Genomic DNA, 26,217 nt, shown 5'->3' with positions numbered 1-26,217 from the left:
GGGGAGGGGAAGAGAATGTGAGGGCCGATGAGGCTGGCGTCGCCTTCAGGGTTGTCCAGCACAGGCTTCTAATCCAGGCACAGAAGCTTTTAGTCTCTCCCCAGCCTCGGTTTCTCCCAATCACAGCAGGACCCCTTGAGAACTGGATGTCTGGAGAAACCTGGGGAGCTGCACACTGTGGACTTGCAGACTCTCCCAGGCACCGAATCAGCTCCGGGACACACGGCAGGGGAGACCCTTCTTTGTCAAATAACTAATTCTAGGTGCTCTGCATGGAAATGTCACCCAGTCCAGCCCTCCAGCCCCATTTTAGGGGGTCGCCCACAACGCTGCCTGCCTGCCGTCCCACTGACCCCAAAAGCAGCATGTGTTGCTTGCCACTTGTGCCTGCACCCCTCCAGGGACGGGGCCACACTCCAGCCTCCAGGCGACTCTGCACGGTGCACTGCATGGAGATCCGTCCACAGGAATGATCCCCTGCCAGCCTCTGGACAGCAACTGGAGAGCACAGAGCACTTCCCACCCTCCTTCCCCAGGACCAGCTTTGGGAACTGAAGGCGATTCCCAGGCATGCCTAGCCCCACGGGAACCGCCCTTCAGTGGCCTGAGAGCCATATTCCTTAGAGTGTCGCTTAGACAACAGTTTACACCCCCCAACCCAGCCCCTCTGTTCTGAACTCCCTCTGCTCCAACAGCCATCCTCAGAACAAAATGCAGCAGCCACACCGCAAACCCTCAGACACAGCAGGGCCACCGCCACCCTCATCCTCTCTGATCCCCTTCCTCTGTTCTGGCTCCTTCAGACCTGATCCTGCTACACACCCACCCCCACCAGAAGCCAGAACTCTGGACTTCCTTCCAGATGCCGCCCTCCCCCTCCACCCTCGGACCATCAACAAGCCTACCCCGGAGCCCACTGCCCCAGCACAGTGCCCTGAGCCAGCCAGCCGACTGTGGGCTCTGGAGGGGAGCCCGGGCTTAGGTGTCTGTGCCCCCAGTGCCCACCGCTGCACCTGCTCCCAAGCCCACATGCAGCTGTCTGGGGATACTCATTTTCAGGGAGCGTGGGATGGGGACAGGGTGGAACAGAGCACCGGGACCCTGCCACTAGCCTCTCCCCAGCTCACAGCAAGCCCAAGAGTGTGTCGAGGAAGGGAGTGACTGCAGGCAGGGGGACACCACATGTGTCCTACTCCTCAGCCATCCTGCTCAAGGCACACAGGATCTTCTGCCTCACTGTGTTTCAGCAGCATAGCCCCCAGCCTCACCCCTCCGTGTTTGCACCCATAAGTGTTTGTCCAGTGAACTGGAGGATGTAGTGAGTTGCCAGAGGCAGCATCTGGGGGGATGATCGGGGAGGGGACTGTGCTCTGGGCAGCAGAGTATGGGCGTGCCCGGGCCCAGCCCAGGGACACCTCCAAATGATTCTGCATACCCCTCCCTTCCACTTCCACCAAGCGGCATCGAGAAGGTCTCCCTAGACCTGGGAGTGGACGGAGCCCAGGGTATTGGACCACCTTGGAAGCCACCAGTTGAACCCCAGTTGTGACCATTCATATGAGCAAAAACAGCTTCTCTCACACTAAGCCCCTGAGATGCTGGGGGGGCCTTAGAGCCATGAGCGTTCTCCCTGATAAATGCATCCCCCAACCTAGTCCACCACCTGCTATGCCACTGCAAGAAGCAGACGACGGAGAGGGGAGCTGAGCGCCATGTGGGAGGATGGGTGAGGGCCACGCCATGTCTCCACTTTTAGCACTGGCCGGGCACCCCTCCTTCTCAGGATTGTATTCCATAGAAATAGTGTTCCAAGAAAAAAAAAAAAAAAAACTAAAGTAGAAATGGGACAAGAGCCAGAATGGGCCGTGCGTGGTGGCTCACGCCTGTGATCCCAGCACTTTGGGAGGCCGAGGCGGGCAGATCACGAGGTCAGCAGATCGAGACCATCCTGGCTAACACGGTGAAACCCCATCTCTACTAAAAATACAAAAAATTAGCCGGGCGCGGTGGCAGGCGCCTGCAGTCCCAGCTACTCGGGAGGCTGAGGCAGGAGAATGGCACGAACCCGGGAGGCGGAGCTTGCAGTGAGCTGAGATCACTCACTGCACTCCAGCCTGGGCAAAAGAGCCAGACTCTGTCTCAAAAAAAAAAAAAAAAAGAAGAGCCAGAATGTCGGCCTGAGTAAGGAACGACTCTGGAGCCGACAGCAAGGGTGGTGTCACCCCGCCAGAAGCCCTCACGAGCAGGAACCGGGATGCCTCCAGCATGAAGCCTCAGTGGCGTTGCCCCCAGGACAACCCAGCCCCAAACATTGGAAATGCTCTGACTTCACTGTGAGTTTCTTCTTAGGAAGGAGAAGAGGGAGCAGGAAGCAATGAATGGGGCTTGATTCTGCAGCTGGAGCCCTTTGCTACAGGGCTGAGGCCCCCCACCAAGCTCTGCACAGACCAGGTCTCTGCCAGCCTCCAAGCTCTTGTCCAGCTGAGCCGCCCACCAGGAGCTCAGGCCTGTTCGCCTCCACGGCTTCTGCTCCCTCCACTCAGCTCAAGGTGCAGCTCTGAGAGGAAGAATCGAGGGCTAAGAAGGGACACAGGTTTACTGAGCACTGATGAGGCTCATGAACGCTACCTGGCTCTCACAGGCCCAGAGGATATCAGGGAGCCCAGGCTCAATGCACATTTGTTCAACAAACACACTGGATGGACGGGAGGCAGGAGGGCCGCCGACCCACCCGCATCCGCCTCTTCTCCATCAGTTCTCCTGCAAAAGAGATGCTAAATAGATGCTTGTGGATGATGCATAAAAGGGGGGAAGGAGGCAGGAAAGAGGGAGGGAAGGGCAGAAGGACAGACAGAGGGAGCACCAACCATCACCTGCCCCCGTCGCTAATGAAAAAGGGGGTTTTGAGCCTCACAGACCCATGTCTGTCGAGCTGTTTGTTATTCCTCATCGTCTCTGGGTTTGTGTCTGTCTCCCCGACCCCCAGGCAAGAACATAAGGCCAGAAGGAAAGAGCGAAGACTCAGGGTTTGGTCTTTTGCTCTTTGCTGTTATCTCCAGCGTGGGGACCACACATGCCTGGCACATATAGGCGTCAACAAGTATTGGTTAAATAAATGAATGACGTGAAGGTGTGGAAAAGAAACTCCACATCGGGTTTCCATCTGTAAATTGAGGCTGACAATAGCACCTGCTTCTCACAGTTCTTAGGAGGATCCCACAAAATCACACATGTGCAGGGCCTGGTAAACAGGCACACAGCCGTGGTGACCCCTTGGCCCCTCAGGCCCCTGCCATCCTTTCTCTCCCCACACTCTCAGGACAGGTCCACAGGGAACATCGCTCTCTCCTGCCTGGACGGTGAGCTCTGTGGCAGCCGGACAGAGACGCGCCGAGGTCTGCGTCCTGCGCTCTGACTTGGCCTTAGAAGGTGTTTTCCTTCACCCACAATTCAGCAAGTGATGACTGAGCACCCACTGTTTGAGACCCCAGAAATGGGGAGCAGGCTGGTGGGCAGCTCGCCAACTCAACAGATACCCTGACACTCAGCACCATATACCTCAGCTCCCAGAATGGTTTGCAGGGTGCCAAGACCATCACCAAACGCCGAAATTCACTCTTCCTTTAAGCCCTACGTCACTCAAGCGTAGATAAAAACACTGAAAGAAAGAACCAGAGTTGACCTGGAGAATTTGATTGCATGTCAAATGAAGTCAGTTCATACTTAATGCATCTCAAGAACTAAAAAGGGGCATAGAGGAATTATGAAACAGCAAAAAGGGATGAGACGGGTTTCTTTTTAGAAAAGGGAGGACTGGAAACGCATAAAAAACATTCATTGTCATCGTCACCAGCAGAGAGCATCCATTAATAACTCCTTGAAAGCTGAGTTCCTGACACAATTAAAAAGTTGCCATCCTTTACTTAATGAAGCCAGGAACGCCTCAGTGGTTTAGATATTGGGTTTCCCTCGGGAGTTTACTTCCCACACTATGGCTGTCTCTCGGCTGACCCCATGCCGGCTTCTTTTTAAAAAGGTCCTCTGGGCGCACTAATTTTGAAAAATCAAATTAGGTTTGCTTTTTATTACCTCGTCTGAGCTCTGTTTTGTGTGCATGGAGGAGTGGCCCAGAGCACTGGCCGCATTAACATTCCACTGTGCACACAGCACCCCAGGGGCGCAGAGACCCTCCACGGAGGCTTGGAGGTGAAATCGCCGCTTGGCTGCGGCCCCCACGCAGCTAGGGGCACACAAACCTCAATTACGAATGTGTGATCAGGGGAACTTTGAGGTGCTAATTAGATGATATTCTTGTTTATTGATACCATAAAATGCTATACAATACCCTTGTGCGTAAAAAGGTATAGGAGAACACTCCTACAAACACACACACACGCGCGCGCACACACACACACACACACATATGTGGACTGTCTACTAGATGCCGGACACTGCTCTCAAAGCTGGGGGCACAGCAGTGAACAAACGGACAAAATGAGCTTAGCTTTACTGAGAAGACAGATGAGAGACAAAATAAATGGGAAATTACATGGTTAAGTCCAACTGTGGTCATTGCCATGGAGAAAAACAGGTCCAAGTCAGGGCACAGGGCCTACAGGGAGGGCCCTGGGTTGCAGTTTTAAATAAGGTGGTCAGGGAGACCTCACTGGAAAGTGGGGACCGTGCAGCTCCCGAAGGAGGGGCAGAGAGCCAGGCAGACATCTGGCTGCAGGGAGGGCGTTCTGGGCAGACGAAGTGGCAAGTACAAAGGCCCCGAGGCAGGAGTGTGCCCACAGCCATGGACCAGCATGGAGGATCCGGTCGTGACCTTGGCTTTTCTTCTGAGTGAGATGGGAACCACTGCACAGCCACTAGTCACTTACCTGTCATTTCTCCAGCAACGTGCAAGCTACTTGCGGGCAGGCACTGCGTCTGACTCCTGTCTGCACCTGGCATCCCTGCAAACGCCCACCACACAAATATTAGAGATACAAGATGGTGCCTGCCTGTGAGGATCTCACCATCAGACCAGGAGCTCAGGTATCACGGATGAGACCAGAGACAAGAACTAGTGAGCAAAATAAAATGTCGTGTCATCAAGTGCTAAGACCGGCAAGCCGGGATGCAGGTACGGACACTTTGGCCTACCCACCCACTGCCCAACCAGGTGGGATGCTGCCTGTGCGTCCCGGTGGGACACAGAGGCCACTGTAGGGGACAGTGATTTTTATAGAGGATGTAGGAGTGCAGCAAGAGCTGGAAGGGAAGGAGAGGCGCCATGGCACTGATGTGTTTCTCTGAATATTGGATTTATCCAAGAAAGAGCCCTGCAGGAGAACGGAACCTTAGTGTTAACCCCGTCCTTCCAGCTCAGGAGAATGTAATCCAGAAACATGCAGAGCGACATCATTTGGGAGGCCAGCGCAGCTCATGGAAAAAGGAGAGCAATTGCCCATCTTCACCTCATTTTGGTAGTTTCAGGAAATGCATTTTCTGCTGGGGCCACAAAGATTCACGACACTCAGTCTGGGTTGCTGAGGAACACAGAGGGTTTGGGCCGCCCGGCTTCCAGCTGGCAGCAGGCGCCAACCTAGGCCTCTGCCCCGTGGGGAGAAGGGTCGAGGGTGCTCTGCCTGCCGTGCTCCCAGCCAATGTGGGCCCATACTCAGGGGTCAGCCCAGCGCCTGAGCGCTGGACTGAGTTCTCTGGTGCATAAAGACAGCTGCTGAGAACTTTGTGTGATATTGATCCGAGATCATTCCTTCACTCATTCATTTGAGCACACAGGTGCCCTGGCCACCCTCGTCCCTCCCTGGGCCTGTGCTGAGGGTGGGTGGGCTTCAGCACCTCCTCGGCAGCTCCCCCACCAGGCTGTGGCTCCATGAGAGTGGCAGTGTTTCTGTTTCGATAGCTGCTGTGTCTTCAACGTCTAGCACAGTGACTGGCACATAGGTGGTGCTAAGCAAACCCTGGCAGAATGAAGGAAGGAAATGAGTGGAGGAAAAGCGACTGCCAAGATCGGGGCTGTGCTGTGGGATCCAGAGGCAGCCAGAAAGGCCTAAGCAGGGACAGAAGGACACAGTCCCGCCAGGGCTGGGCCGAGGAAACAAGGAGAAGATGGGGCCCACGGAGATGCTGCTAAACCAGCTCTGGAAGACTGAGGCTTGACCTTAGACTGAGCACCTCACAGACAGCTGGGCCACACAGAAGAGGCAGGAAGGCACGAGAAGGGTGTCTGCAGAGGGAGCTGCCCAGGCACGGAGGCAGGAAGGAGACAGCCGGGACATGCAACAGGACCCTGAGAGGCCGAGTGGCCAGACACAGATGGCTCTCAAACAGGGCTCTTCCACAGGACTGGCTCAGGTCCCCATGCCAGGTCAAGGCTGGCTGCAGACAGAAATCAAGCAAGGCCTGGAGATGAGGAAGGCCAGCGGGACCAGGGTCACGGGAGGGTAGCCTCAGGCTATGGCAGCATTGCCTGCGGTGGTTGAAGGGCATGGATGCTGGACCAGGGGAATTCACAGACTGGCAAGTTCTTTCTCCACTCTCTGCCCCAGTGTCCTCATCTGTCAAACGGGCATAATGACAGTACCTACTCCAAAGGTCGCCGTGAGAACCTACTGTGTCAACGCGTGCACGTTGCTTACAATAGTGCCGTGGTGGCGGGGACTCATGCCACCGCTTCATCACTGAAAGCAGAGGCAGGGGTGCCTCTCTTCACAGGAGAGGCTCAGCAGGGCTTGGTGAGAGTGGTGCAGAAGCTAGAGAGGCAAAGAACACCTCTCTGCATCACTGCACGGTGAGTTCACGGAAGTCCTTCGCTTTTTCTCTCTGCCCTGGACTCTGCTGGGTTCCCAGAAAAGTACCCCCCACCCTCCGCCCGCTTTTCTGCCCAGAGTACTTCCCACCCCATCCCCGAGATTAGACCCTCACTCCTCCCTCCAGACCTCTCACTCCTGGGCCACCTCCTCCAGGAAGCTCTCCTGGCAGTGACTGTGCCTTCGTTGCACCCTCAGTGCAAGAACCCAGCTCGGCTCCTGCATCTCCCACTTATCAGTAGCTACGAAGGGTGGGACGATGCCTGTTCCACCTCCCGGTCCTCAGCAGGCGGAGGGCGCGCCATCCTCTCTCGTCCTGATTCTGCCAGGCTTTAGTTTTCTTATCAACCCCCAAAGACAAAGAGCAGCTTTGACCAAGCCCTGACTCCTGCCTGTCACAGCTCAGCAGGGGCTAGAATTTGGCTGCCTCAGCTCAGAAGGCAGCCGCAGTTGGAGCAGGGTGCAGTGTCCAGCGGGCTCTGGGAGAAGGACAAGCGGAGGCCAACGCCAGCTTTCCTGCCTACATGCCTGGCTGGACGGTAAGATGGGAACACAGAGAGCTCAGGGGTCCGTTGCAGAGCTTGAAGTCCCAGGAAGCAGAAACGCCCCGCAGGCAGCGGGCCCCAGGAAAATGGGATGGGAAGTTGGAGGAAGACACAGGCCTGGACCACGGCTTCCCCATCTCCCTTGTTTTCAGATAATAGGACAATTAGGGTGAGCACAGCCTTTCAGGGATGAGACGTGCTCCCTTCCCATACAGCTTTAAGAAGAAAGGACAACAGAAACCAACCAAGTAGAAAATGCCCCAGGATCTAACATGCTCTCGCTTCCTAGAGGTGTGGGTGCTTTCGCTTTGTTTTTTAAAAGGAAGGGGAAAGAAGATATCTCCAGCTGTTCTTTGATGTTCCAGGCCAGATGGTCCCCGAGAGATGTATCCGAGGCCATGCGATCCATACAGAAAGGAACTTAGCACCGCTGAGGGGCAGAGCCATCTGAGGGGAAGACAAGCGGTGGAGAGCGGATTGGGATCCAGGGCCCTGGACTGCTGCTCAGTGGGCCATGCCTGATTGGCAGCACCAATTTCTCATTAGGGCACAGCCCGCCATCCACTCAGACGCATTCCACACCCGCTCACAGCCTCGGCCCCCACCTCGCCTGGCTCCGGCTGCCAGGGGGCCCACCCCCAGCCCCGGACAGGCCGCCCTGACTGCAAAGCATCCCTATTCATCCCACCTCACGCTAATTCCTCCTACTTTCCTCCCCCAGCCTGTCTCACCACCAACCCCCGGCTTTATGTGCCCAGCTGGGGGAGCTGGGGGACCCAAGAGGGGGTGGCGGGGCCAGAACGGCCCTTTTGTGAGGCCTCCCGCTAATGCCCCACTAATCCTGCAATTTGCACAACTCTGCGATGCTGGGTCACTTTTAATTATCTTCCCACCGGCCTTGTCCCAGAAGAGGACAAACACTTGTTTGAATGGAGGCGGGCTTGCGGGCTGATTCCGCCAGGCTCTGCAGTGGGGCACCGGATGCAGCATGAGGATCCCAGGGATGTTTGCAGAACAGGGGCCCAGCACCCGGCCTGGGCACAGCTAGGCCCGGGGACCTCAGGCTCACAAATGTTTGCTCAGGTCTTTGGTTAGCATGGACATGAGCCCCGCTCCCTATACTACGGCGGGAGTGCTGGCTTCCTCCTCCTCCATGACACCAGCGGCATGGCTGCTGCAGAAGCTGGAAATCAGACAGGCAGCCCTCTCCCGTCACCGTGGGAGCGGCAGAAACCTGGGTCCTTCACAGCCGCCAGTGGCTCCAAGAAACATGCTGTCCACAAAGAAGCCTGCTCTGAAGCTGCTGGGGCACCCTGGTCAGTAGTTCTACCCTTGCCTGGGTCGCTGACCGATCAGAGGCCAAAGGAAGCTCCCGGCACCCTCTCCAGAAAAGTCTGCACTGTTGCTTGTATGTCAGGGCATCCTGGCCTCTGAAATTACTCCAGAAACCAAACTAAGACCCCAGGAAAGACAAGGCCCACCTCCAACTTCCCATACTCCCTTTCCTATACCCCAACCCTTCCTCACTCACCCCTGCTGGGGTGCCTTGCCCTCATATGTGCAGAGCCCTGGAGAGTACAAACGGATGTCCCCAAACTGCCCCTTTCTCTTCTCACCATGGTCATGTCCTGGACCCCAGGGGGTCTTGCATGCCTGCGGTGCACACAGCCTCCAAGGCCACGCTCTGTTCCCCTCTGTCCCCAGCCCCGTCGCCTCCTTGTCCCACCCCTGGGACTCCAAGTGCACACACTGGCTGTGCAGCCCACTCTGGGAGGACGGACCTGGGGAAGAGGTGGCTCAGGCCCTAGAAACAAGCTCAGGCCAGCAGGGCACAGAACTACAGGGTCCTGGGTATCCAGATGTGGCCTGCAAGGCGGATACCAGCCCCAGGGGGCTCAGTCTCGGCTCCACAGATTCTCTGGCCCTTGCAGAGAGTCACAGCCAGAGGACAGACAGGGCTGGGCCCTCTGGACGGTGGGGCCAGCACAAAGCCCCAGACACCTGGGCTCCAGGCAGTGCCATGACCCCAGGCAGCACCACTGGCCCAAAAGTGCTGCCTGAGGCCAGCCTGAGTGTGAGCCAGCCTTGCTCCTGGAGTTGCATGAGACACGTCTAAGTCCCTTCTACACGGCAGCTCTTTCGTCTCAGGTTGGGAACCATAGAGCACGGTTCTCATTTTATAGAAACTTCAGACGAGGATCTAGGAACAGCAGCCCTTGAACTCGGGGACAGGAAGGGAGCTTACAGTCACTGAGCACAGCCCTCTCTGCCCCACGTTCACCCAGGGAGACTCAGCAGGGGGCAGGGCATGGCCAGGGCCCAGGCTGTCTGGACAGAAGGAGCAGAGGCAGCTTCCCAACCCCCAGAGCTCTTCCGATCCCCCACCCAGCAAGATCCCTGGGGTGGGGGTGGGGGAGGGGCGGGGGCCTGCAGAAAAAGCACAAAAGTGGTATTCATGCAGGGGACAGGGCTGCAGACTGAGGACAGGCAGAGGCAGAAGGGGGCGTGGCTCTTCCCTCCAGCCCCACCGACTCTGGGGGCTCATTCACCGATTCCTCCCTCAGGCTCTGAGCACGGTGTGGAACCCCGAGCTGGGAGTGCCGGGGTGACTCAGACAGGGCCTCTGGCCTCCAGGAAGGGAAGGGGGCATACTGAGGAATCCCAGCCCCCTCCACCTAATGCAGAGGAGATGCCCAGAGAGGGAACCCATGGGCATCCAGGGGAGGTGGGGAGGACCCCCCCAGGCACTCTGAGGAGAGAGGTCAACTGAGTCTTGAGACAGAAGACAGGGGGCATGGCTGTCCCAGGTGTTCGGCTGCAAGTTCAAATCCCCAGAGGCCGGAAGATGCTGGTGTCTGGGGAGGGGGAAGGAGCACGAAGCTGGCCTGGGCACCTCGGACACCAGGCCGGGCACGCGGACCTTGGCCAGAGGGGGCTGGGGAGTCGAGGCACCCATGCCTCTTCTGTCCCCGAGAGCCAAGGACTACCGAGCGATAGAGGGAAGCCACGCAGTGTGTGTATGTGTGTTGGGGGGTCACCTCTCCGGAAAGAGTCTGATGTCTTCTCTGCTGACCTGCAAAGAACAGGCCCGGTGCTGGCCCCGTGTTAGTGAATATTAACTTGTTCACCCCTCCCCGCACTTCTCAGTGGCTGGGGCTACTCCGATTCCCAAATGATGGAGAGGAAAACTGGGGCTTGGAGCAATGAGGTTAGCTGCCCAAGGTCCATGCTTGTAGCCACCCCTCCATCGGTGCCTCGCAGGAGCGAGTGGCCTCAACCAGGGCTGAACCCTGAGTCCTTGGTGGGGTGGGTGGGGAGAGGAGAGGTGGAGTCCCGCAGAGGGCCCCAACCCTCTCTGTCTCTGCCACCCTGCCCGTGATTTGGGTTGTCCCCAGGAGTCCCACCTCAGGGTCTACGGAGAGGAGGCAGAGCTTCCTGCCAGCAAGCCCAACCTCGGCTCCTAAAACCTCGCTGAGGCATGAGCCTGCCCGCTAACACGAGCTCACCACTGAGGCCAGAGAGAAAATCAGGGTACACAGTGCTTGCTCCGGGGAAAAGAGACTTCCAGCTCCCGGAGGCTGTGAGGGCAGGGGCAGGGGTTCCGGGTGTTTTCATGGGTGTCCAGGAAGATGGGGGCACCCCAGAGGGAGCACCCCAAGGAGCCACAGAAACAAGGTCAGCATGGGGCGACCAGCAGGTGTCACTGCAGCCAAGAGGAAGAGGCCAGGCAGGCTGGCAGGTGCTGGGTTCCAACACTCTGCATCGCATTTCTCCCTGTGGCCCCCAGCACGGACCCCCAGCCACACACGCAGCCATGACGCAGCTCCCACAGGGCTCTGCTCCACGACTCCTGGCTCTGACATGTCAACCTCAGGGAAGCCCCTGCAACAGGCTTCTCCATTAGCCCCAGCCATGGGAAAGCAGCCGTCCTGGCGTTCTCCACACTGATCACCTACTGTGTGCTGGGCATGCTGCTCCATCAGCCTGGCCAATCCCAGGTGGGAGAGGTGTGGGAATGCCCATTGGACAGGTGAGGAAACCAAGGCTCCATCCCAGGAGGCCACACCTCAAATGGTGGGTGCCATATCCAATGCTGGGCATGTCCCCACCCCACATGGTGGCAACAATAAGGCTGAGAGTGCCGTCCCGTTCACACCAGTAACCCTATGGGTGCCTACAGTAGGGCTGCCCTCCAGGGTTCCCAGGCACAGGGCCAGAGGACATGGACGTGAGGCTGGAGTCCAGCCCCCACCAGCGCTTCCCATCCACGGACCCTGGGCAAGGGCTCTGGCCCCTCTCGGCTGCTCCCAGGGCTGGGCGGCTCGAGCCAACGGCCAGGCTCCACTGCCGGCCCCATCTCCCCACCCTATTGCCGAGGAACAGGGCACCAAGCCAGGGGCTCTTCATCCCTGGACAAAGCCCAGTAGCAACGCACCCGGCCGGCCGGCAGAGCTCAGGGTGCTGCCTGCTGCGGTCCTGGCCAGGAGTCTGATTATTCATGAAAATCAGGCCTGCGCCATGTTTCTGGGCTCAGAGGGGCTGCTGTGCACAATCGCCTCATTGTGTGGGCGGCCATAATGGTGTCTCCTCTGGAGGGGAAGGAGGAGAGAGAGAGAGGAGGAGCCGGGGGAAGAAGAGGGGGCTGGGGCTAGAGGGGGGAGAAAATAAAAGGGAGGAGGAGGGAGAGGAGGAGGGGGAGGAGGAAGAGGAGGAGGGAGAGGAAGGAGCTGGGGAGAAGGGAGAGGGGGAGGAGGGGGAGGAGGGAGAGGAGGAGGGGAGGAGGGAGAGGAGGGGGGAGGAGGGAGAGGAGAAGGGGGAGGAGGGAGAGGAGGGAGAGGAGGGAGAGGAGGAGGGGAGGAGGAAGAGGAGGGGAGGGGGAGGGGGGAGCTGGGGAGAAGGGAGAGGATGAGGGGGAGGAGGAGGAGGAGGGAGAGGAGGAGGGAGAGGAATGAGCTGGGGAGAAGGGAGAGGAGGAGGAGGGGGAGGAGGGAGAGGAGGGGGAGGGGGAGGAGGGAGAGGAGGGAGAGGAGGAGGGGAGGAGGGAGGGGAGGGGGAGGGGGAGGAGGGAGCTGGGGAGAAGAGAGAGGATGAGGGGGAGGAGGAGGAGGAGGGAGAGGAGGAGGGGAGGGAGAGGATGAGGGGGAGGAGGAGGAGGAGGAGGGAGAGGAAGAGGGAGAGGGGGAGGAAAGGTGAACTAGGAGGATTTGCCCACGGCAAGTACTGGCTGGGCCCAGAGGACAAAAACAGTCCTCTCTCCAGAGTCCCAGAGCACCCCCTGCACCCCTGGGGCATGGAGGAGGAGCTCCCTGGGGCATGGAGGAGGAGCTCCCTGGGGCAGGTGCTCTGCACACTGTCAGAGGCCTCTCTGATGATCTGAAGGTCTGCAGGCCGCAGTTCCCAGAAGGTCGGCTGCGGGGAGACACAGCCTCCTGCCCTACCTCTGGCCTCATAGTCCTTCCACCCCTGCACCACCTAGCCCCGTCCTGGTTACACCAGAGGATGCCTGTTCTCACATCTGTCCCCCAAATAGGCCTTGGCCCCAGTTTTACCCTCTATTAGAAATTGCCCCACCCCAAATCTGCCCACAGAAACCCTCCTCTCCCCTACGCCCCGGCACTGCCTCATCATGGGCTCTTTCCTAATTGCCAGGCATCACCGGTGCGTATGCACATAGGACGCTCAGAACCTCTCAGCTGATGAGACGTAACTAACCAGAAGCCACTCCTTCCCCAGCCTCTGAGGCAACTTTGGCTTCAGTCATACCTGACCTTCCGGAAGGTAGGACACGCCACTAGAGCCAGGGGGAGTCTCAGGAGCGTGGGTAAAAATAAAAGGAAAAGGGTACGGCAATAATTTGGATACATCAAAATGCTCTTGGTGGAAAGGGAAAATCCCAGCAAGCAATACCATCCAAATGCGCCCTGCTGGACAGCGCCTCGGAATAGCCAAGTCCTGGCTGAAAAGTTATCACCAAAAGCACTAATGAAAGAGAGACGCTAATTTGGAAGAAGCCAATGCAGGCATGCCCTACTGTGACCAAAGGAAGCCTCTAGGCTCCCCCAGGCAGCTGCACATCGCTGGGCACCACGCACTGAGACACCTTCTGCATAGGGATCGCCAGTAGAGAATCCAAGGCATTGACTGTGTCCCCCAGCACAGCCCACCTGTCTATGCCATCCCTGCCTACAGAAAGCAACAGGTTGGCTTTACCCAGTTCCCCAAAACCATTCACTACCTTCAACAAATGATGCCACTTCCAGGAATCTCTCCTAGGGAAAAGATCTTAAACTCTGCAAACGGTGCATTCACACTCAGGGGAGCCAAAAATAACCAACAGCAGAGGGATCATTGGAGACATTCTGGGGTATCCACTCCATGGAGATGTAGGCTGCTATACAAAGCCATGTCTACAAGGACCGCAGGAGGTCGTGAGATTGTGTATGACAGAAGCCAAGAGAGAAGTCGGTCAGGGGACAAAGGTGGTGGCTGGGACATCTCAAGCACCATTTCTTTTTTTTTTTTTTTTAGATGGAGTCTTGCTCTTTCGCCCAGGCTAGAGTGCAGTGGCGCGATCTCGGCTCACTGCAAGCTCCACCTCCTGGGTTCACGCCATTCTCCTGCCTTAGCCTCCCGAGTAGCTGGGACTACAGGTGCCCGCCACCATGCCTGGCTAATTTTTTGTATTTTTAGTAGAGACAGGGTTTCACCATGTTAGCCAGGATAGTCTCGATCTCCTGACCTCATGATCCGCCCGCCTCGGGCCTCCCAAAGTGCTGGGATTGCAGGTGTGAGCCACCACGCCCAGCCTCAAGCACCATTTTCAATGTCACAGACTCCTCAATAGAGAAAGAGAAAAGGAAATCAGCAGAGGTAACCCAGCAGACACTATCTGCATGGACCACTCTTCTTCTCTCTGCTTTTCTGTATTTTCTAATAAGCATGGGCTATTTTTCCTTTTTAATTAGTAAATGCCTTCTGGAAAAGAAATTCAGCACACTGCCCAAGTTCACAGCAAGGCGTGCAATCTGTGCTCGTAGCATCTTCATCAAGGGCATCATGGCAACGTCTCCAAAACAGCAGGGGATTCCCGACCCAGGCCCCAAGCCCTGCCCTGCCTGACTCTAGCCATCCCAGCTGGACACAGGCAGACAGATGTCACCAAACCCCCTTGAACCTTTAGATTTGCTCCCAGTCAGTGATCCAGGTCTTCTCTCCCTTTAACAAGCAGCAGCCAATGTTAAAAGAGCAAATAAAGGAGAACCCCAAAGAAATACAATCTTTTTCTCCTGTGCACCCTAAAGTTACATTGATTCTCCCTGCCCAGGCCAAGCCCAGGTCCCCAGAGCACACTAACTGTGAACACAACCACCACCACGATCCACACCAGTGCATCTTCCTGAGATCCAGTGCCCGGATCAGATCTCTGGGTTCCTCTTATCTCCCGAGCACTCAATGCAGTGATGGGAGCTGTGGGGTGGGGAGCCTCCTTGGTGAACAGACTGCGAATGGTGGGGAGCCTCCTTGGTGAACAGACTGCGAATGGTGGGGAGCCTCCTTGGTGAACGGACCGTGAATGCGGGGGAGCCTCCTTGGTGAACGGACTGCGAATGGTGGGGAGCCTCCTTGGTGAACAGACTGTCAATGGTGGGGGGAGCCTCCTTGGTGAACGGACTGTGAAGCGGCAACCCAGCTTTTCTCCCCAGGAGATCAGCGGGAGAGAGCTGAGATCCAGGCCGAGCTCAGTTTCTGTGAGGCTGGTCTGGTTTCCCATGACGGTCCCCTCCAGGGCCAGCCCCAAGGGACCCTCCCCCAGACAACAGTCACAGTTAGGAGCACCATCTCCCTACACCATCTCCTACCATCCCTGCCTTGGCCCCGTGAGACCTGTGTGGCCGCATTCCCAGTTTTACTGTGGGGATGTTTACGGTTGAGGGGCTTGTCCCACTTGAATGGGAACAAGCTGTGTCATTTATGGGCTAGGTGACCTTGGAAAACCCTGGAGACCTTCCTCTTTGCATATCGGCTTCCGTGTCCATAAAGATGAATTCTCTGGTGAGAATCACAAGGGAGCAGGGAGGGATAGATGAGACATAAGACAGGGATGGGCCCACAGGACTTGCTGGTGGCATCTCAGTCCCCTTCCTTGGTTTCTCCTGTCTCGGAGACTCTTTCACACACCAGGCTCTCCTGGCAGGCAGCCCTGACCCAGCCGTGCAGTTGACCGAGCACTGACGCTCACGCTGAGGCATTTCTGCTGCTGTAGAAGAAACGCTGGCCTAGATCCCACAGCCCGGGGCCCAAAACGCCATGTGATCTCTCTCTCCCAGGAAGGGCACCACCATCCACCACCGAGCCAGAACCCTGGGAGCCCTCATGATGAAAGCCTTCTTGCTCACGGCACCACCAGCCCCTCGCTGGCCCGACCACCAGCACTGATGTGGGTGGCAGAGGCCTCCCATGGGCCAGGCGTGGACTCCTCCAGGCTCCGTGGCCCGTCTGCACCTGCAGTCATGAAGCTGCTGTGAAAAGCAAACGACCACACCCCTGTCCTGCTTTTAAACCCTCTCCTGGCCCCCCACAGCTGTTCAGTTAAAGTCCCTCTCACCTGCTATGTGGCCTCAGCTCTGCCCCCACCGCCGCCTCATCCGAGCCCCTTCTCTCACCTCTATTCATGTCACAGGTGCCTCTGCCTTAGACACCCAGGGTCCCTCCCACCTCAGGACCTTTGCACATGCTGTCCCCCCTGCTCCATGCCCTGTGCTCCACTTAGCCATCTCCCTAAGATGTCCCCACCTCAGAGAGACCTTGTCCAACCCCTGGGTAAAACATGGTCCCAGGACTGTCTCCCTTCTAGGAGTGATCAGGTTGGGGCAATTAAATAAAGAACCGTGTAATTCATTCTTTAACTACAGCTTCCCCAGCCAGCCAGCCAGGGACTATGTCTGCTCCATTCCTCACTGTCTCCTCAGCCCTGCCTGGAGCATAGCAGGCCCTTAACCTACATTCACTGAATGAATGAATGAATGAATGAAAGAATGCAGCCTCTGCAGTCATTACAGTCAACAAATCAACTGAGAGCTAGCCCTGCCCTACATTCCCCAAAACACATACACACATCTGCACGCACACACGCACATACATAATGCACATGTGTGCATACATGGATGAGGGGCAGGAGGAACACTCCCCAGGAGCTCAAAGACCTGGGTTCAAGTCTCCATGCTCCTTTGCAGAGTATGGTTCACTGCAAACCCTTTTCCTTTCTAGGCCTCAATTTCCCCACCTGGGCAATAGGTATAAAGACCTGGAGAAATGAAGGGAGGATTCTGTTGGCAGCATGGGGAAGGGAGAAAAATCCAGGAAGGGAAAAAAATCAACTAGGTTCCTCTGTGATTCACACCAGAAGACCCTGGGTCTGGGGGACAGTCAAAGCCCTGAGCACCCCGTGGGAGCATCTGTGTTTTTCTTCCTGTCACACACTGAAGTTAAGGTTACAGATAGTGGCGCCCACAGCTGAAGGGGTCCAGATGGCAGGTCACTACTCAGAGAGCAGCCAGCCCACTGAGAGCCAGGTAGACGGGCGCTGTGTTAGACCCTGAGATGTGTTCGTTACAAGAGCTGCCACGGGTTGTCCTGACAAATACATAAGGGCGCTGGGCCATGTGGTGTGAACCCACCTCCCCTGGGGCCAGCCATCAGCTTCCTGCCAGCCCAGGGTCACTCAGCTACTTGCAGTCTCCCCCATATTTGGCCCCTGGTACAGAGCCACTCAGAGGCAGCAAAGGTCTCCCCAGCCCTCCCGTGTGGAGTCCTCCCTCGCAGCCTGGGAGTGCCAAGGCCAACTCAGAGGATGGCTTTTCAGGCAATCGGAAGGGGACTCTTGTCCTTGTCCCCTGGCTGCGATCAGGGTGCTGCAGGTGACAATGGCGATGCAGAATGTTTTAGGGTCCTTTGAAAGCATGAGCAAAGGGGAGGCCCTGCAGCGTCTCGGGAGGAAGGGCCGCAAGCCGAGCGCCGTCTCTATTTGGGATGTGCAAATAGCCTGTGTTTGTTCACCCACGTCCGCCTCTGCAGCTCACAGCTTTTATCCTCGAAGCGCTGCTGATAGGAGAGTCTGAAAAATGCTAATACTGGAGAAAACTCCCCGCAGAGCTTTAATGAAAAGCTTTCCATGAATTGTGATATTTTACCTTTGCCCTGGGCCTGGGAGGGCTTTATTAACTGCAGCTCGGTCTCTGTGGCAGCTGCTGCCAATCCACAGTGCTGACTTCAATGAATTCATCAAACATTTACCACGTGCCCCCAGCATCCAGCACTGTTCCAGGCACTAGGAGCCTGTATCCTATCAGCAGATATTGACTGAGCACCCACTCAGTGCTAGGCAGGGTGGCAGGCTCTGCAAAACAATGGGGATGACAGCCGGGCCTTGCCTGCAAGGGACCAGACACTAATATGTGATGTCAGAGTTGGCACAGTGGGCTCCAAGCTGTGAAATCCAGGAAGGCTTCCTGGAGGAGGAAACCCCAGCCTGATTCCCAGGGAGAAGAAGTGAGCCAGACAAAGGCAAAGGAGGGTCTTCCAGGTAGAGAGACCTCCATCTGCAGAGGGCCACAGGGAAGGAACTTCAGTCATAACCTGAAAGCACCCAACTACTGGAATAATGCTTCCTCAACTGTATCTGGGCTCCCTGGATGACAGATATCCATATGTCACCTACACCTGGATGAACTGAACAGGTGTTTTCCATTGCTAGCTCTGCCAAAATCTAGTGCCAAGCCCAAGGGAGAGGGATGATTGATCAATAGAGTCAACCTAGAAGACTGTGACCCAGGGCAGCATGACACAAACACTGTGGAAACTCAAAGGAAAGATAGGAAGGCTTCCTGGAGGAGGTGGCACAGACACCATGGAAACCCAGAGGAGAGACAGGAAGGCTTCCTGGAGGAGGTGGTACCTGGGCTGGGCAGCAGCCACCTCAAACAAAAAGGGTTCATGCTGAGGACAGACTGAACTGTGCCCTCCCCAACTCCCCCCCCCACCCCACATGAATTCCTGTATTGATGCCCTCGCTGCCAATGTGACTGTATCTGGAGACAGGGACTGTAAGAAGGTGATTAAGGTTAAAGAGGTCACAGGAGTAGGGACCTAATCCAATAGGACTGTGGCCTTGGAAGAAGAGGAAGTGGGGATGCAATCTCTCTCTCTCTCTTCTCTCCCCTCTCCTCTCTCCTCTCTCTTCTCCTCCTCCCACCCCCTCTCCCCCCGCCCCCCGCCCCCCGCCCCTGGGAGAAGAGGCTGCCATCCCATCTACAAGCCAGGAAGATGTCCTCACCAGACGCCAGTTCTGCCTCTCCCTGATCTTGGACATCCAGCCTCCAGGACCGTGAGAAATACTGTTATTGAAGCCTCCTGGTCTGTGGTGTTTCCTTACAGCAGCCCCAGTTGACAAATACAGAGCCCCTCACTCCCCTATGGGCCTCTATAGCCTCCAAAACAAAAGAAGTTCACCGTGGAGGTAGGACCACGGGGCCCCCACGTCTCAGCAAGGCCCCGAATTTCAGATCGCAGTGTGGTGTGAGGTTCAAGTTCTCGTGGTCCAGCTGGCCTGCTCCTTCAGGTGCTCATCCTGAGGACATGGGTGGCAGTTCTGGCTGAGCCACCGCACGTCCCACAGATTAACTCCTTCATTAAGCAGCCGAGCTCTCGAGTGCTTAAACACTGCATCGAAACCCCGGGGAGCCCCATCTGAAATCACCGGAGGAGGCCGCATGGCATGAGCTGGCTTTCAGGACGCCTCCTGCCATCGACGGCGGGGACAGCAACGCCAGCAACGGGCTCTCCCATCCCACAGGGGCTGGGTGAAGCTGTCAGAAGAGGCTCAGAGGGTGGGCTCCAATCGGCCTGCATGTGGAGGATTTACATGCTTTTTCTCCAAACCAGAAAACTGTTTTTACCATAGCGGAAGAAACAGCCTTTCCTTCAAAGTAAAAACCACCTTTAAACAAATCAAGTCTGTCCGTGGCACTGCATTCCCTCAGACAGGAAGCCGCAGACCCACGCCCGCCCACAGCACGGGATCAATACACCAGAGCCACTAAGGAGCTGGGCTGTTCTCTCAGTCAAATGTCAAATTAAAGACAGTCAATGCCAGTATTGTCATCTCCTTTTAAAATAAAAGACACAAACAGTCCACTGGCTGAACTCTAAACTTGTAAAATTAGACTTTCTCTCCCGAGGGCGGCACAAAGCCCCTTCCCCAAGTCCGAACGTGCTCCCTCCTGCCAAATGCAAGTGGCCATGAAGTAGGGGCTCCTGCTGCCAAAAGAGACAAGGTTCCCGTCTCCCCACCCATCCAGCCTGGGGGCCGTGGCAAGGGCGATGTGCCCCCACGCCCAGCTCCCAGTAGGAACGGTTTCCATTCCTGGCTCGAACCTTTCTGGAAAAGACTGCCAGACTGAGAACCCGTTGGGACGCACCCAGACGGGAGGACCCAGGAGGGACAGGGTACAGCTGCCTGGGGGCCTCAGAGCCTCTCGGACACCCCACCTTTCCCAGGGTCTCGCCTTGTGGTCTGTGGCACCCAGAGCCTTCTCTTCTTCCCAAGTGGGTCCTTGATCTTTCTCATCTGGGATTTTCCAGTTGGTCGGTCATTAAGGACACTTTGCACCCCTCATTGGGCAAGGCAGGAGACCCCCCAAGGGAACCCCAAATCCTGCCCTCAGGGAGTGCACAGATGAAGTCAACACAGAAGGCTGTGACCCAGGGCAGCACAGGGAGCCCTGGAAACCCAGAAGAGAGAAAGGAAGGCTTCCTGGAGGAGGAGGCAACTCCCAGGCCGGGCTGCAGCCACCTGATGCAAGAAGCGTTCGTACCAGTGGCCCTGGTCCCTCTCTCTGCCTCTGCTGACTTGTGTCTCCTCACTCGGACCCACTTTCAGCTACTGAAGCTCCGTCAGGACACTTTCCTCTTGGGACCTTCCATAGCTCCTGTACCCTGAAAAGCAGCACCCAGGTTCCACGGTCTGGGACCCAAGACGCCTCCCAGTCTGCCTCAGTTATCATCTGCTCTGGTTAACCGAGGCCCGTGAACATGTGCAACCTCTGAGGCATTGTGGAAAAAGTGCCAGGCCAGAAGGCAGGAGGCCCAGAGTCGAGTCCCAGCTCTCTCTCACCCTTGCAACCATGAGCACCTCCCTCCCTGGGCCTGTGTCCTCCATCCGTAAGATACGGGGGGCTGGCCTGGGACCGAATGGGACCATGTCCCTTCTGGTCCTGGGACCGACCCCAGCTCCAGTGCCAGGCCCAGCCAGCCTGCCACCCTTTGTCTTGGAAACCTCAGGAGAAGAAGAGAAACAGGGCTGAGAGGATGGTGCATCTCCAACGTCAGGCCTCGTGGCTGCCTTCCAGGACGTCTCCCTTCGCCCACACCCTGCTCCGTTCTGGCCAAAGTAGGTAGCTCCCCAACCCAGCCCCAGAGCCACCCCAGGCTCTTCCGCTGCTCCCACAACAGGCCTGCTCTCTCCAGCGGTGGCTCCAGCTGGCCAGGCTCCCACATCCTCTATCTTCTTTCTACGGAGACACCATGAGGCTGTGCCCACTTCCCACGCGAGGAGACTCAGGGTCCGAGTCGTGCAGTGAGGACCGGCACAGGCCTGGAGACCCAGCTGGAGACTCTAGGAGACTGTTTACCAGCTCATCAGGGGACTGAGGGGGACAGCAAGGATGCTGACAGTTACACCCACCACAAAGAGGCACCGGGAAGATGGATGGGAGGCAGGCAGGGAGCCCCCGGCGGGGCAGCTGGCTCTCGGCAGGGCACGGAGCACGGTGCCGGCCGCCGTGCTGATTAATGGTGGTGCTGGTCCCCGCACTGGGCCTCCACGCTACACTGCAGCCCCAGGCTGTCGGCCTCACGCCAGGCTCCTAAATCAGGGCTGCACCGAACATCAGAGAACGGCCCCCTCAGCAGGAGCATCTGAACTCACTCAGTTCTGCTCTAACAGCCCAGGGCCCACACACTCCCGCACCCTCGGACTTAGCAGCCCACGCCAGACTAAAAGAAACGGGGATCTGCCTTGGCCCAGCATGCTCCGGAAGCTTCTGTTGGCGGTCTGGTCCTCCAGCGAGAAGGAAGAACGAGGCCCCAGGAAAATCCTCCTGGGAGCATAGGCGCCTCCCCATCCCCTCTGCCAGCTGTCTGGAGGGCAGAGCTGGATGCCAAATGGCAGAAAGCATGGGAAGGAGGGGCTCGCGCCTTGGCTGGCAGAGGCCATGTCTTCCAGGGAGGAACACCGGAAAATTAAAATCAACCGCCCACTGCAGCCAGGCGCTCCGTGCAGTGGTGAGTGGGGCATGAGATAGTGAACAGTGTGGGGGAGTGCATGGTGGCCTCCTACATGACTGGTCCACATCCTAATGTCTCCACTCTGCCATGTGGCCTTATCTAGAAGCAGCATCTTTGAAGCTGTAATGAAGTAATGTCAACATGAGGAGATGGGGCCGGGCGTGGTGGCTCACACCTGTAATCCCAACAATTTGGGAGGCCGAGGTGGGTGGATCACCAGAGGTCAGGAGTTCGAGACCAGCCTGACCAACATGGTGAAACCTCATCTCTACTAAAAATACAAAAATTAGCCAGGCGTGGTGGCAGGCACCTGTAATTCCAGCTCCTCGGGAGGCTGAGGCACGAGAATCGTTTGAACCCAGGAGGTGGAGGTTGCGGTGAACCAAGATCATGCCACTGCACTCGAGTCTGGGCAACAAGAGTGAAACTCCATCTCAAAAAAAAAAAAATATATATATATATATGGGATGGTCCCAGGTGAGCGGGTAGGTCTTAAATCCAATGACAGGTGTCCTGATAAGAGACACACAAGAAAGAAGCCCATATGGAGACAAAGGCAGAGAGTGAAACGACACAGCCACAAGCCAAGAGATACCTGGGGCCACCAGAAACCAGAAGAGGCCGGAAGGATCTTCCCCCAGAGCCTTCAGAGGGAGCACAGCCATGTGGACCCCTGAATTTTAGACTTCTGGCCCCCTGGACTGTGAGAGAATATTTCTACTGTTTTAAGCCACCCGGTTGTAGCAATTTGTTATGGTGGGCAGGAGCCAGCTGACCTGAGTTCTAGAACCATCTCTGCCATAAACAGCCTGTATGAGCTCCAAGGCATGGCACCCTCTAGACTTCAGAACATGAGTGGATGGGGAGACATGACCCCTTCAGGCCTCTGTGTCAAATGCTGTCCTCACCTCCTGGAGCACCTGCTGAGGGATGGACTGAGGGTCATGGAGCTGCCAGGTCATAACCTCGAGCTCTCCTGAGGTCTGCACAGCGAGAAAGTCCTGGGTTCCCACAGTGAATGGCTGCCATTTCTTGAGCACCTACTATGTGCAGGCACTGTACTGAAGGCTGTGCACAGCTTGCTTCATCTCACAGGCAAGGAAACAGGCTCAGGGAGGTTGATAAAGTGGCTCAAGGCCAAGCAGTGGGTGTGCAGGGAAGCCAGGACCCGAACACAGACCGTCTGACCCCAGCCTCGGCTCTTTCCCTTCACACCTCCCAGACTCTGGAGAAAGAAACAACTGGATGGGGAAATTGTACATCCTTCCTCAGTAGGATGCCCTCCTGCCCTGTCCCAGTTGAAAATGGCCAGGGAAGGAGCTTCGTGCTTGAGTGAAGGGGGCGCGGTCCTGCCTTCTCTGTGGGTGTTCACAGGTTCCCTGGGCGCAATCCTGCAAGCTGATCCTCTGACTTTGTGATGGCTCAAAATGGTTTACTCCAGGTGTCCCCAGATCAGACGCTGTAGTAACGTTGTACATCCCCATCCCTGGTGATCCCATCAGGGCTGCCAGTGAAGGATCCTACAAACTCAGATTCCTAGAGGCCAAGGGGCAAGATCAAAACACAAAGGATCCCTCGCTCCTATGGCCCAAGTCCTCAAGTGGCTCCCAGCACAGGCAGGAGAAGCCAAAACTGCCCAAGGCTCCCCAGGTTCTGGTCCTGCCCCCTCCTCCATCTCCTCTCTCCCCAGGACCCCCTCACCTGGATGCTGTAGCCAGACCCAACTCCTCCCAACTCCTGCTTGGGCCCCACCTATGTTTGGTGGAAACCCTGGCCTTGAACTGCCCACCGCACAGTGCTTTTCTGAGCTGCTGTGCTGCAGAAACTGCCGCCAACCCAATGTCACCCCACAAGGGCAGGCACAGGTCAGAGACCACTTTGCAAAACTCTAAGCAGTGGCCGAAATCAAATGACCCCAGAGTAGGGGAACACTGTTCCTGGAGTGAATGGCTGAGACTCTGAATCCAGGAGCTGGGAAACCTGGAATCACTCCAGACCCCCGCCCTGAGGCTCTGCAGCAGTTTCAAGCACTCTCCATTCAATCCACAAACACCTACCGAAGCCCTACTGAGTGCCAGGCACTTTGCCCCGGTCTTGCTTCCAGCCAACACCCACCTTCTGCTCCCCTGCAAAGCAGCCCAGGAAAGAACTGCCTACATTCACGTCTCCTCTTCCTCAAGTCATTCTCTCCTCGACCCTCTCCCGCAGGGAAACTGTCCTCGAACTTCCTCCAACTCTCAGCTGCTTTATGTCATATCACACATGCATGCTCAGTATCTGTCTCCCCCACTGGACACGAAGCCCAAAGAGGCAGGGTCTTGCTCACCATGGTGTCCTAGAAAGGTGCCTGGAACATGGTGGATACTCCACAGATGTTTCAGGAGGGAGGGAGTGAATGAGTGAAGAAATGAGTGAATGAATGAATGGGTGAATGAATGAGTGAATGAATGGATGAATAAATGAGTGAATGGGTGAATGAGTGAATTAATGGATGAATGAATGAATGAATGAGTGAATGAATGAATTAATGAGTGTGAATGAATCAGTGAATGAGTAAATTCTTACCTAGATTTCCCTCCCCAGATGCTGAACCCCCCACTTCCCAGCCATCCTGGCACAGACAAGCATCTTAGTGGGTGGCGTTTGCTGATGACAGCCCTGGGTCCCACAGGGCAAGACCCCCTAGAGTGTGAATCCCAACTCTACCACCTGCCGCTGGCTGAGCCTCGCGGTGAGACTATCACACCACTCTCAGCCCCAGTTTCCTTCCTCATCTGTGTGTTATGGACCAAATCACCTCCAACCTAGGGTCCTACAGCCACTGGCGTGACTGACACCACCCAAAGACCAGCTGTGCTATCCTTTCCCACCGGCTCCCACCCAGGCTCACCCCATGATTAGTGGGGGAGCTAAGAATAGATTCTCAGATCTAGGCTGCTTTGGTGATCCTTATAATATACAGCTACATCCTCATTAAGTCAGAACAGCATATGGCACAAAACACTCCAACAATACAAACTGAGTTCATTTATACCCTGTGATCCTGAGTTCTTTGCATTCGGAATGAATAAGGTATTATACAGGCTTATGCATTGAAATCATGAGATTTTCCCCAAACATCATAATGTGATCTACTTTTTAAAGGGGTGGAGGAAAAGATCCTGTCTTAAAAACATGTCTATCACTCTGGTAAACCTTCAAAGAAGTCCTTGAATAACTGCATGTTGATATTTAAACATCGTTAGGGAGCAAAGGCCCCATAGGCCAGAGAGACGGTAACAGCAGCAGCCGGCACTGATAGGATCTTCCCATCTGTAATGACAGCCTCCCTCCCAGGAACCAAGCCATGAAGGTGGCCCGGGGCTGAGTTCCGTGGGAAAAACCACAGTAGTGAAACCAGGCCCTGTGGTTAGAATGAGTCTGGAGTGCGGTGGGGGCCAAAGTGAGGTTCCCCTTCCCCTTAGGAGCTCCACGAGGCAGAGTGGCGAGGGAAGCAATTTCAGGAGTGGGTGCGTGGAGTTTCCATCACACACTGGCGTGTGCCCAGGCAGCTGGGAGTGCAAGATGGCCACCATGTCACGAGTCCTGGAAAATGCGGTCCCTCGGCACTCATCTCTGGCATGCAAAGGAATAAGAAGGAACCCAGCCCCCACCCACAGACGGCACTGAAACTTCAGAGGCCCCGGCTGTGATTAGCACACAGGATCATCCCAGAAGGGAAGGCAGGAGGTGAGAGGAAAGAGGGACCGCAACACAATTATTCTCATGGGGGAGCCTGCGGCCCCCAGGCTGCCATCAAGGCTAGGGTTTGGCCACTCACTGCCCACACAAACGGCCCAATGGAGGCTCGCAGTTTCACCGGGTTTGCAAGAAACAGATGGCAATGACATGAGTGAGTCTGGTGGTGACCAGAGACACACAGAGGATGGAACGCTCTTGTTTGGCTCCAGAATAAGACCAGGATGACTGGACGCACGCACAGCCCAGCAACAGGACAGAAAGGCCCACGTGCTGGAGGCGGAGGGGACGCAGCAGGCAGGAGAAAGGGCAAGGTCTCCAGAGCGCAGCTGCAGGACACAGCCCCTTGTGAGTCAGATGCCTGGAGGAGGGGACACCCCGAATGAAGGGGCTACGGAGAAATGAGACAGTTTTGCCAACATGTCAGCCACCATCACCGACAAGCGGAGATGGGCAAAATGGTCCCCCCGAGAGAGAATGATTTCTCGCTGAAACAGCAGCCTCTTCTCAAGAACACGGCTGTGGCAAGAGTGACCCCATGCTCTGCTTCCATCAGTGAGCCTGACAAGAAAAAACTTTTGTGCAGCATGAATAACACTGAAGGCCTCCGGGTGTTTTCTGCTGGGTTTTATCATAGCTCTCCTTTTATGAGGCCGTGCTTCAAAAATGTAGAGATACCGTGGGCAGGGCACGTTCAGACACGCGACTCGCATTTGTGGTGTGGCAGGGCTGTACTCAACTAATTAAGTCCTCACACTGGGCTCTTTGGGCAG

The 26,217-nt window shown here is 56.4% G+C and overlaps 1 protein-coding gene across 8 annotated transcripts in view, besides 3 other annotated features; it reads right to left on the bottom strand.

Moving 5' to 3' along the window:
* Window positions 1–26,217, bottom strand: part of SORCS2 (sortilin related VPS10 domain containing receptor 2) — a 550,290-nt gene that overhangs the window by 435,636 nt on the left and 88,437 nt on the right. The window lies entirely within an intron of this gene.
* Window positions 176–676: an enhancer, noted in NCBI's record as "H3K4me1 hESC enhancer chr4:7308243-7308743 (GRCh37/hg19 assembly coordinates)". NCBI's record gives its function as "activates a minimal SCP1, AML or CMV promoter by ChIP-STARR-seq in primed H9 embryonic stem cells {active_cell/tissue: H9 hESC(primed)}" and the evidence as "EXISTENCE:reporter gene assay evidence [ECO:0000049][PMID:30033119]".
* Window positions 8,058–8,862: an enhancer, noted in NCBI's record as "H3K4me1 hESC enhancer chr4:7300057-7300861 (GRCh37/hg19 assembly coordinates)". NCBI's record gives its function as "activates a minimal SCP1, AML or CMV promoter by ChIP-STARR-seq in naive and primed H9 embryonic stem cells {active_cell/tissue: H9 hESC(naive and primed)}" and the evidence as "EXISTENCE:reporter gene assay evidence [ECO:0000049][PMID:30033119]".
* Window positions 8,863–9,668: an enhancer, noted in NCBI's record as "H3K4me1 hESC enhancer chr4:7299251-7300056 (GRCh37/hg19 assembly coordinates)". NCBI's record gives its function as "activates a minimal SCP1, AML or CMV promoter by ChIP-STARR-seq in naive H9 embryonic stem cells {active_cell/tissue: H9 hESC(naive)}" and the evidence as "EXISTENCE:reporter gene assay evidence [ECO:0000049][PMID:30033119]".

This window comes from Homo sapiens, chromosome 4 (genome assembly GCF_000001405.40).
Source record: "Homo sapiens chromosome 4, GRCh38.p14 Primary Assembly".
Lineage (NCBI taxonomy): Eukaryota > Metazoa > Chordata > Mammalia > Primates > Hominidae > Homo > Homo sapiens.
The sequence above is the reverse complement of the archived record's forward strand: the minus strand, read 5'-3'. Positions and strand labels throughout refer to the sequence as shown.